Source organism: Homo sapiens, chromosome 13, assembly GCF_000001405.40.
Source record: "Homo sapiens chromosome 13, GRCh38.p14 Primary Assembly".
NCBI classification, from domain to species: domain Eukaryota; kingdom Metazoa; phylum Chordata; class Mammalia; order Primates; family Hominidae; genus Homo; species Homo sapiens.
Genome location: NC_000013.11, coordinates 48,184,434 through 48,196,963, shown reverse-complemented (window position 1 = coordinate 48,196,963; position 12,530 = coordinate 48,184,434). Strand labels below are relative to the sequence as shown.

Sequence of the window (12,530 nt, the reverse complement as noted above, 5' to 3'; positions counted from 1 at the left end):
TGGAGATAGTAAAAAGATATTGGAGGCTGAGCATGGTGTGATTCATACCTGCATTCCCAGAGATTTGGAAGGTCTGAGTGGGAAGATAGCTTGAGGTTAGGAGTTTGAGACCAGCCTGGGTAACACAGTGAAACCTTGTCTCTACAGAGGAGTTTTAAAATTAGCTGGTCATGATGGCATGCACCTGTAGGTCCAGCTACTCAAGAGGCAGGGGCAGGAGAGTTGCTTGAGCCCAGGAGTCCAAGGTTGCAGTAAGCCATGATCACACTACTGTACTCCAGCCTGGCGAACAGAGCAAGATCCTATCTCAGAATAAAAAAAAAAAAAAAAATCAGTGGTGGCCAGGCGCGGTGCCTCACACCTGTAATCCCAGCATTTTGGGAGGCTGAGGCGGGTGGATCACGAGGTCAAGTGTTCAAGACCAGCCTGACCAACATGGTGAAACCCCGTCTCTACTAAAAATACAAAAATTAGCTGGGCATGGTGGTACACGCCTATAATCCCAGCTACTCAGGAGGCTAAGGCAGGAGAATTGCTTGAACTCGGGAGGTGGAGGTTGTAGTGAACCAAGATGGTGCCACCGCACTCCAGTCTGGGTGACAGAGTGAGACTCCATCTCAAACAACAACAACAACAAAAAAATCAGTGGTTGCCAGAGTTTTGGGAATAGGGAGTGATAGGTAGGCAGAGCACATAGGGTTTTTAGGGCAGTGAAATGACTCTGTATGTGCTATAAAGATGGAAACATGTCATTATACATTTGTCAAAACCCATAGAATGTACAACAACAATTGATAACAACATTGATAACGATTTTTCAACGTGGGTGCATTAATTATAATTGTTAAATAAAATTTAAATTAGGTCATTGATTTGGACTGAGTTCCTGCACTAGGCCCCAACAGACCAAACCAAAATATGGTCATTCATGCTGAAGTTCTGTGCCACCAAACCGAAACTAAGTTGTTTATCTGAATTTCCAAGAAATCCGGAGAGAGAGAGATAATATCCAAATCCTTGAATAAGCCGTTTTTAACCAACATTCTAAAGAAGTTGCCTTGGCTTTAACCTTTACTGGGAAAGTAACTTTGAAATGACCAATCCACTTTTTCATCCTTATTTCTGCTTTCTTCAGCCTGTTTCTTTTCCTTCTTTGTTTTTTTCTTTTTGAGATGGAGTCTCACTCTGTCGCCCAGGCTGGAGTGCAGTGGCGCAATCTTGGCTCACTGCTACCTCCACCTTCCAGGTTCAAGCAATTCTCTGCCTCAGCCTTCCGAGTAGCTGGGATTACAGGCACCTGCCACAACGCCCAGCTAATTTCTATATTTTTGGCAGAGACCAGATTTCACCATCTTGGCCAGGCTGGTCTTGAACTCCTGACCTCATGATCTACCAGCCTTGGCCTCCCAAAGTGTTGGGATTACAGGCGTAAGCCACTGCACCTGACCTCTTCAGCCTTTTTCTGTCTATAAATACCCATTGACCATGTTGCAGAGGATAGTTTTCTGAGCCTCTCTGGTTTTGAGGGCTGCCCAACTCAAGAATTGTCCTTCGCTCAAACAAACTCTGTTGCATTTATTTTGTCTAAAGTTTTTCTTTTATCATAACAAATGTACCATACTGGTTCGGAATTTTGCTGGTGGAGGAGGTTGTACATATGTAGGGACAGGGATATATAGGAACCCTCCGTACCTTCTACTTGGTTTTGCTGTGAAGCTCAAGTTACTCTTAAAAAATAAAGTCTAGGCCGGGCGCAGTGGCTCACACCTGTAATCCCAGCACTTTGGGAGGCCGAGGCAGGCAGGTCAAGAGATCGAGACCATCCTGGCCAACAGAGTGAAACCCCGTCTCTACAAAAAATACAAAAATTAGCTGGGCATAGTGGCATGCGCCTGTAGTCCCAGCTACTTGGGAGGCTGAGGCAGGAGAATTTCTTGAACCCAGGAGGCAGAGGTTGCAGTGAGCCAAGATCGCACCACTGCATTCCAGCTGGTGACAGAGTGAGACTCCATCTCAAAAAAATAAAAAATAAAAAAAGTCTATTAAAAAAATAGTTACCATAGTAAATTTTATGTTCTGTGGTGTTTTTTTAAACCACAATTTAAAAAATTATGTCTTTTCTTTATTCCCCATTCCCCAATCCCATTTGCCAGCAACAAAGACCATTAACAGTGTCCATATTTTTAATCAGATTTTAAACTTCACACTCTTTTATTTCCAAATGATTATTTGAAGACAAATACTGTGTTCAGAGTATTTGAAGGCAAACACTATGCTCAGAAAGAAGTCCCGACTCAGAAAATACAAATCTGAGAGTCCCTGGCATGGGTGTGATACTTCTATCATGGGAGTGGACAAGCTCTTTAGGGACTATGTGCACAGAAAGCAGAAGAAGCTAAGGGGAAACCCAGGGAAACCTAGATTAAAGAGTCAGAGAGAGAAGGGGAAGTCTGCCAAGAATGAGAAACAAACAAAGAACTAATAGAAAAGCCATGAGCCCAAGGGCAGATAACATTTTAATAATAAATGTGGCCAGGCGCAGTCGCTCATGCCTATAATTTCATCATTTTGGGAGGCTGAGATGGGAGGATTACCGGAAGTTAGGAATTTGAGACCAGCCTGGCCAACATGGTGAAACCCCATCTCTACTAAAAATACAAAAATTAGCCTGGCATGGTGGCATGCATCTGTAGTCCCAGCTACTTAGGAGGCTGTGGCAGGGGAATTGCTTGAACCCCAGAGCCAGAGGTTGCAGTGAGCTGAGATCATGCTACCGTACTCCAGCCTGGGTGGCAGAGCAAGACTCCGTCTCAGGAAAAAAAAAAATGCATAAGTCAAAACCACAATGAGATATCATTTCACACCCATTAGGATGGCAATTATCAAAAAACCCGAAAAGAACAAATGTTGGAGAGGGTATTAAAAAGTGCATTGCTGGTGGGAATGTAAAATGGTGTATACACCGTGGAAAACAGTATGGTGGGTTCTCAGCAAGTTAAAGATAGACTGTTTAATATCGAATGTTTGGTATGATGCAACAGTTCTACTTCTGGTTATACACCCAATAGAACTGAAAGCAGGGACTCAAATATTTGTACACCAATGTTCATAGCAGCACTACTCACAATAGCCAACAGGTGGAAAGAATGCAGATGTCCATTGATCAATGAATGGATAAACAAAATGTAGTTTATACATACAATGGAATATTATTCAGCCTAAAAAGGAATGAAGTTCTGATTCATGCTATGATGTGGATGGATCTTAAAAACATGCTGACCAGGTGTGGTGGCTCATGCCTGTAATTCCAGCAGTTTGGGAGGCCGAGGTTTGTGGATCACTTGAGCCCAGGAGTTTGAGACCAGCCTGGGCAACATGGCAAAACCTCGTCTGTACACAAAATACAAAAATTAGCCCAGGATTTTGTGGTCCTTGTAGTCCCAGCTACTCAGGAAGCTGAGGTGGGAGGATCGCTTGAGCCCAGGAGACGGAGGTTGCAGTGTGTGGAGATTGTGCCACTGCACTCCAGCCTGGGTAACAGAGTGAGATCCTGTCTCAAAAACAAACAAACAAGCAAAACCATTATGCTAAGTAAAATAAGCCAACCACACACAAAAAAATTGCATAATTCTGCTCATATGAGCAGAATTATAGAATTTAGAATTTAGAATAGGCAGAATCATAGTGACAGAGTAGAATTGATGTTACCAGGAGCTGGGGGAGGAAAAATGAGGAGTTATTGTTTAATGGGTTCAGAGTTTCAATTTGGGAAGTTAAATAATTTCTAGAGATGGATGGTGATGTTAGTTGCACAGCAATTTGAATGTACTTAATGTCACTGAACTGTATATTTAAAATGGCTGAAATAATAAATTTTATGTTATAGGTGTTTTATCACAACAAAAAGAGGAATAAATGCATAAAGAAGCCGAACACAAAAGAGTACATACTGTTTGAGTTTATTTATATGAAGTTCAAGAACAGGCAAACCTAACTGGAGGTGGGGGTACAGCCATAACAGCAGTTACCTTGGTGTATGCATGTGGGAAGGAAATTGGAGAAAAGAAGAAACAAACTGTACATTCAAGGAGTTTGAAAAGGGGACAAATATTGTTATAAATAAAGGGTAATGTTGGCTAGGAAGCCTAGCTTTTTTTTAGGAAGGGGAAAATTGAATGTATTTTTAGTTCGAGAAACAGATGGAGAGAGAGGGAAGGATGACAATGCAAGAGAGGGAAGAGACAGATGACATCCGGAGGTGTGAGGGGAGGGAACAAAAAAGGGAGGGTGGGATTAGCCTTGGAAAGGGGTAGGGACGTATCTTCCACCGTGCTTATGAGAAAAGGGAGCAAGAATGGGTGAGGATTGACTAAGCGAGGAAGTGGAAGGGAAACACATCAAAGGAGTCAGAATTGCATAGTTTTTCTTTTCTTTTCTTTTTCTTTTCTATTATCTTTTTGAGACAGGGTCTTGCTGTATCAAGGGTACACTCATGGGCGGGAGCGCAGTGGCACTATCTCCACTCACTGCAACCTCCGTCTCCTGTGCTCAAGTGATCCTCCCATTTCAGCTTCTGAGTTGCTGGGACTACAGGTGCGCTCCACCACTCCCAGCTAAATTTTGTATTTTTTGTAGAGAGGAGACCAGTGTTGCCCACGCTGGTCTCCAACGCCTCGGCTCAAGCAATCTGCCCACTTTGGCCTCCCAAAGTGCTGGGATTACAAGCATGAGCCTCAGTTCCTGGCCGTTTTTTTTTTTTTTTTTTTTTTTTTTTTTTTTTTTTTTTTACTGTACTGAACTGCCTCCTCCTACCTGCTCTGTATCACCAATATGCTGGCAGAATTCAGCCCCTCTGATCTATTTCTTACTCTAAAACTAATCTATGCCACTAACTACCATTTCCAAAATCATTTCTGTTGACATTTTTCCCATCTGAACATATAGGTATTTGATCAGAAGACCTCTACGGTTTATGCAAGCTACAACATTTTGTTTTGTTACAGATGTGAATTTTAGAATAAATTAGTTGGAAAATATATGTATTTTTAATTTCCTCTGTGTCCTGAATTTAATAAGTGCAGCTGGGAAATAGACGTACTTCCAAAATTATGTTGTTAATACAAAGCTATCTGCCTTTCTTACAAAATTCTGGGTTGTTTTTCTTTTTTTTTGAACTGAGAATTTTCTTTTCGTTTTACAAGGAAAACTGATTTCACACTTAGATAGCTAGATTAAATATATCCACATGCAATTGATGTATCAAAATTTTGTTAGAAGGAGGTAAATAATTGGAACAGGTTTCTCTCTCTGTCAATTCAGAACAGTGAAGACTTCATTGTTGTGTATTAGCCCATGATAAGATTCTCGGGCAGCTGTAGGGTGTAAAGTCTCATTCCCTCAGAAGCAGAGGCCTTTGCTGAAGAGCAGGCAACATTGCAGTAGGAGCCTGGCTAGAAAACTACTTCATCAAAGGTGTTCAGAAAATCCCCTTTCAAAATACACACAGGCAATTCAAAAGGCAAAGTTATGGGTGGTTAATGCATGTAGAAAAATCGGAAGCTTCATTAATATTCAAAAGATGCAAATTAAAATGACACTCAGATGCCATTTCAACTTATCCAATTAGCAAGATTTGTAAAAGTAATGCTTAAGGGTTAAGTGTAATGGGAAATCTCATGGACTGCTTGTAGAGTATAAATTGGTTTAATTTCTTAAAAAGCGATGGAAGAATGTCTACCAAAAGCCTTACCAATGGCCTTACCTTTTGAATCAATAACGGTAGTGCTAGGATGTCATGCTTTAAAGAATTCAGAAAAGTGGATAAAAGCTTTCTCACACAAAGAAACTCATTGCCCTGCTAATTATGATAGAAACAGCTAGAAACACCTGAATGTCTAACTACAAGGAATTCAGTGTGTGTGTGTGTGTGTGTGTATTGAGACAGGGTCTCTCTGTGTTGCCTAGGCTGGTCTTGAACTCCTGGGCTCAAACAGTTCTCCCATGTTGGCCTCCCAAAGTGTTGGAATTATAGGCATGAGCCACTGTGCTCAGCCAAGCATTTCAATTATGAAAGATGCATATGATATTATATATTTTATAGCCATTCAAATGCTTATGAATAATTTTTAATGATGTAGGGGAAATGTGACATAATGATAAGTGGTACACTATTATTTCCTCTGTGTTAAAATATGTATGTGTATAGAAAAAGACTGGGAAGTGTCAGAATGTAAAGTAGTTACATCTAAGTGGCAAGATCTGATGATTGTGTTTTCCTTCTTTATACTGCTATTTTTCACAATGTATGATCACTATTTTAAAAATCTGAATCTGAAGTTATTTTTTGACAAAGGAAGAAAATGTCCTTTGATTATTTTTGGTAATCATTAAATCCCTGTACTCCAGAGAAATGGGCCAAAACATTCAGCTAAGTTCAGCTATTCATTCAACAACATTCAATAAACATCTACTGTGTACTAGGCTCCACAAAATGTACTGGGAATTCAAGGGTAAAGAAGACGCCCAGACTCGTGCTGGCCCTCAGTGAGCTTAGTCTAGGGGAGTGCGCAGTAGATTAGTTTGCTAGGGGTGCCATAACAAAGTACTCCAGACTGAATAGCTTCAATCAACAGAAATTAATTTTCTCACAATTCCAGAGACTAGAAGTCCAAGGTGTTGGCAGGGTTGGTTTCTTCTGAGACCCGTCTCCTTGGCTGGTAAATGGCTGTCTTCTGGCTGTGTCTTTATATCACCTTCCCTCTCTGTGTGTCTGTGTCTAAATTTCCTCCTCTTATCAGGACACCAGTTATATTGGATTAGGGCCCCACCCTAATGATCTCATTTTAACTTAATTACCTCTGTAAAGACCCTATCTCTAAATATAGTCACAATCAAAGGGAGTTAGGACTTCAACATATAAGTTTTGGGGGGAACAACTCAACCCATAATATCTAGCAATTAAATAATTGCATCAGGCCGGGCTCCGGTGGCTGACACCTGTAATCCCAGCACTTTGGGAGGCCGAGGCGGGTGGATCACCTGAGGTTGGGAGCTCGAGACAAGCCTGACCAGCATGTAGAAACCCCATCTCTACTAAAAATACAAAATTAGCCAGGCGTGGTGGTGGGCACCCATAATCCCAGCTACTTGGGAGGCTGAGGCAGGAGAATCGCTTGAATCCAGGAGGCAGAGGTTACAGTGAGCCAAGATTGCACCATTGCACTCCAGCCTGGGCAACAAGAGCGAAACTCCATCTTAAAAAAAAAGAAAGAAAAGAAAAATTGCCTCAGAAAGAAGGGCTGGAAAAGCTGAGATTAAGACTAAATAGTATCCTTACACTCCTAGCACTACTGGTAATTTCTGCGGAATGGTGTGATTACTATTACTTCAGCATTTGCTTTTAGTCTTCTTCAGTGCATGGTTTGTAGCTTCTTTATTTAACAGCTTAGGAGTAATAAAACAAATTTCCATCTAGTTACAATAAAATGCAGCTGACATTTTAAATGTATCTTCTCTTCAGAGAGTCAGAGAATGAATATTTATTATTTGATGACTGATATTACAAAGTCATTATCTTATCTTTCAGAGTTCAGATTGGGGTGTGAATCAATACTTGCTAAGTGCCCAGATGAGTATATGGCATGACTTCCAAGAAGGGCTTGGCTGGTTCTAAGTCCCTAAAGCTGTTAACAGAGTTCTGGAGAATGAACTCTGCCCTGTCTAATAACTTCTCTGTGATTCGTTTTCAATACTTTTCAAAATTCAGAAGAATAGTTTTTTATGGAACCATGTATAAAATCTAACTAAATTCACAATCTACTTCCTATACACCTGTCATTTGGCATCAAATTCTTTATGGCATGTGGCAGACTACAAGTAAATTCATTAAAAATAAAACAGATTCTTTAGGCTGCATAGATCACAGTTGGAAAATACTTGTTATATTACATTCATATATACAAGTAATTGCCCGTCCATTTCAAGAGACAGAATTTTGCATAATCACTTCAGAAGCAGTAAAAAGATGGGGTAGTCTGGTGGTGAAGGGTCTGGGCTCCTGGGAGCAGCTCTACCACTCCCCACCTCCAGGAGGATGGTGAAAATGAAATAAGCAAACCCTCCTTTACAATAGAGCTCCCCGAGGAGCCCTTTACAATAGTTCCTGGGGCACAGTGACATGTGCAATATTCAAGAACATGTGCAATATTCAATTATTATACATTGCAGAGTTGATTTCCTGTCTTTGATGCATTCTTTCTCTCTTGCCTTTTTCCCACACTGTGTCCAGACTTAGCTCAGTTACCCAAGGGCTAGTTCAGAATCAACAGTGAATGCTCTATGACAACTTTGAGCCCTCTTGTTGATGACATTTTAATAAGGTAAACACCTGACCCCTTCACTCTTTGAAGTTCACCTTTTGGCTTGTTGGATACACACAGTTGCAGTGATTCCCTTTCTATGGCTGGCAAAATTAAAATTTGTAGAAGTTTGGAAGTATGTATTTTGGAGTTCTTTCATTAATGTGTAAGCACTTCTCATTCTCCTGAATTTCTCCAGGTCATCTGTGAATTCTTCCCTATAGCACAGTCCCACTTGCTGCTTGCTTCCTCTTAAAGTCATTGTGCTGGGGTTATAGGGCTTCATTTTTTCCAATCTCTATGGCTCCGTGGTTGCTCTTCCTAGTTCCAATGCCCTGTTCCTCTTCACCAGCAGTACTCCTCCTTTATTTCAAAATTGGACCCCAGTCCCCTAGGATCTTGCTGTTTTTATTCCTTTGCCTTGATGGTACTCATCTTCTGCATTATTTTAATTTGCCCTTATGAATTATTGCTTGAAAAATATGTTTCTTATTTGTGCCTTTTGTCTTATTTGTGCCTGTTAGATTGTATGCTCCTTGGCAATACAGCACAAGTCCTTGAACTATTTTGTACATGATCCTACTATTTGAGGATATACACTAAATATCACTTATTGCTTACACTGGCCTTTTTATTGCTTTTTCTCCCAGTTACTCTCCTCTACCTTTTAATCTGGCTTTTCTAGCTGGTATCCTTTTGTTAACATAGACCATCTAGAATGTTTTCTATCCTCTTTTATCTTGTATCCTCAAATATCTTCTGACACTTATTTTAGTTTTCTTTGTTGCCCAATCTATTTACATGTTATACCAGTTAAATTAAAGAGAAAAATGTTTCCCACAGCATACAAAGGGAAAAAAATAGGTGAAGTGCCCCACTGAGCGAAACTGTGAGCCCTTCCTCTTTGTGGTCCCCCTCCCCCAGTATTCTTTAATCACACCATCTCGTGTTATCTTTCACTTATTTTTCTCTTTTTATTGGATTGTAAGACTATGTCTTATTAGTTTTATGAATCTCTAGCACTTGGCCCATTGCCTGGAACATAGTAAGTGTTTAACAAACTTTTTGTTGAAGAAATGAAAGATTTAGTAAAGAGATTCACCCATGAAAATGTGGTAGTTATAATAGGCTCCTTTGTTTTCTAAGAATCTGGCTTGAGACTAATGTTGTAAAGGGTAAGCACTGGATCATACCACTACGTTAATACCCCTGCTCTTCCACTTGCTGGTTAGCAACAGAGGGTAAATTACCTCTCTGAGACTAGACACATCATATACAAACTTTCATAGGGTTGCTTTGAGAATTTTACTATTTAGATCAGTACTCAGTATATAGCAAGCACTTAAGAAACTTAGCTACAGCTATTATTAAAAATGACATTGGCCGGGCACAATGGCTCATGCTGTAATCCCAGCACTTTGGGAGGCCGAGGCAGGTGGATCGCTTGAGCCCAGGAGTTCAAGACCAGCCTGGGCAACATGGCAAAACCCCATCTCTACAAAAAATGCAAAAACTAGCCAGATGTTGTGCCATATACCTGCAGTCCTGGCTACTGGGGAGGCTTAGGTGTGAGGATTGCTTGAGCCTGGGAAGTTGAGGCTGCAGTGAGCCATGATCATGCCACTACACTCCAGCTTGGGTGACAGAGCGAGACCTTGTCTCAAAATAAATAAATAAATAAATAAATAAATAAATAAATAAATAAAGATATTAATATATCAATACTTACTTATTCAAGGAGACCAGGCAAATAACTGTCACATCATTAACACCACTTGCATTTACTGAGTGCCCAATTATCCAAAGACCATGGAAAATTCACCATCAGCATTAGACCTAGGTGTGGTGACAGGAAGAGAGAGTTTTTATCCATGTGGATAACCAGCAATGTCAACATTTAGAATTATTTGCATTAATTAGACTTTTCATTTTTAAAAAATTGTGGTAAAATATGCATAACATGGAGTTTGTCATTTAACCATTTTTAAGTATACAGTTCAATGGCATTAAGTACGTTTGCATTGTTGTGCAACCAACACCACTATACATTTCTAGAACTCTTTTCTTCCTGCAAAACTGAAACTCTGTACCTATTAAATAACAATTCCCCATCCCCCCTTCACCCAGCAGCCCCTGGAAACCACATCCTACTTGCTCTGTGAGTTTGACTACTCTAGGTAGCTCCTGTAGCTGAAATCATATAGTATTTGTCCTTTTGTGTCTGGCTTATTTCACCTAGTGTAATGTCTGCAAGGTTCATCTATGTTTGTAGCATGTGACAGAATTTTCTTCCTTTTTAAGGCTGAATTAAGTTTTAAATTTTAGTGGTTGTAAAATATTCCCTTTCTTTTGGTTTTTGTTTGTTTTTTGTTTTTGAGACGGAGTCTCACTCTGTCGCCCAGACTGGAGTGCAGTGGCACCATCTCAGCTCACTGCAAACTTTGCCTCCCGGTTTCAAGTGATTCTCCCTGCCTCGGCTTCCCGAGTAGCTGGGAATCTCCCTGCCTCAGCCTCCCAAGTAGCTGGGATTACAGACACCTGTCAGCACACCTGGCTAATTTATATATATATATTTTTTTAGTGGAGACGGGGTTTCACCATGTTGGCTAGGCTGGTCTTGAACTCCTGACCTCAGGTGATCCACTCTACTCGGCCTCCCGAAGTGCTGGGATTATAGGCCTGAGCCACTGCACCTGGCCCAGTTTATATTGTTGTGTGTTTAGGTGGTTCCCCATTTTTAGCAACCGCAGCTAATGAAAATCGGGCTCTTTCAGTGTAAGTATTTCTTTTTTTTTTTTTTTTTTTTTTTTTTGAGATGGAGTCTCTCGCTCTGTCACCCAGGCTAGAGTGCTGGACTGTAGTGGCACAATCTCGGCTCACTGAAAGCTCCGCCTCCTGGGTTCACGCCGTTCTCCTGCCTCAGCCTCCCGAGTAGCTGGGACTACAGGCACCCGCCACCATGCCCAGCTAATTTTTGTATTTTTAGCAGATACGGGTTTTCACCATGTTAGCCAGGATGGTCTTGATCTCCTGACCTCATGATCTGCCTGCCTCGGCCTCCCAAAGTGCTGGGATTACAGGCGTGAGCCACCGCGCCCGGCCCATCAGTGTAAGTATTTTGAGGCCTCAAATAATAATGGAAGATTGAAAGAGAAAAGACAAGTCTGGTGCCCAGAAAATCTCATTAAAAGCACATCTTTTTGCTTTTATCAGAAACATTTATCCTGTATTTTAAGATGCATTTAATTAAGATTTTGTTTAAGACATAAGGAAAAAGGTTTGCTCAAATGTGTAGCTTTGTTGTTGTTCATCCACAGTGATTACCACATCATCTTGGTCAGTGTATTCACTGACCATAAAAGCAGAAAACTGTGCATTTCCTTGATAATATTAGTAATGAGTTGGCAAGTGATCTCTGAGCCCTGGGATGGGGTGAAAGATGAAATGGAAGATGTTCTAACCTGCCAAGACTTGAGTTAAAGCCTTTTAAACTGTTTCTTTTCCAATAATTGCTAAGATTATTAAATTGCAAAACTGGATAAGGAAGCTTGTGGCATGTATTTTGTTTCAGACAGTAAGCTACTAAAGAGCAAAACAGTGAAACATCAGAGAAGCAAAGAACAAAATTACATATAACAATCTTGATAATTTAAAATGTATTTTTCAATATAGATGAGAACTCTGATAACAAGCTAAAAACTTCGTGGGTATAGACGTTCCCCTTTTCTTCAAGGGAAGGAAATTTTAAATTGGACTTATTTTATTATCCCAGGTGGAAGAAACATTTTTGCATTCATTATTTATACCCTGCCTAGTACAAAAATTATTTGAGGCAATTTGAGAGACTGTTAAAGAATGCAATTGAAGAAATCTGAGTAGAATTTCCCCAGCTTGTCTTGTATAGTTCAGGCACTGACCTTTTATCTGAAAATACTAACAGAAACCTTAAAAAAGAACATAAACTTTGATGACTGGAGGGAAATAGTTTAGCAGCTTCTTGCATGGCAGTGGCTAGGTCTTGTCTACCGAGGGCTGGTCAGTTCCGTTTTCTCTTGTAATTAGGAGTTTCTTGGCCTGTAAATAAAGTAACCATATGTTCTAGATTTTCTGGGGCAGCCCCAATTAAAAATATTCTTTCCTGTTGTTAGACCATGTGTCAGACCATATGTACTG

The 12,530-nt window shown here is 40.4% G+C and overlaps 1 long non-coding RNA gene across 3 annotated transcripts in view, besides 1 other annotated feature; it reads left to right on the top strand.

Moving 5' to 3' along the window:
- Positions 1–12,530, top strand: part of LOC105370198 (uncharacterized) — a 114,265-nt gene that overhangs the window by 25,346 nt on the left and 76,389 nt on the right. The window lies entirely within an intron of this gene.
- Positions 10,349–10,578: an enhancer, noted in NCBI's record as "active region_7724". NCBI's record gives its function as "activates an Ori minimal core promoter by ATAC-STARR-seq in GM12878 lymphoblastoid cells {active_cell/tissue: GM12878}" and the evidence as "EXISTENCE:reporter gene assay evidence [ECO:0000049][PMID:35858748]".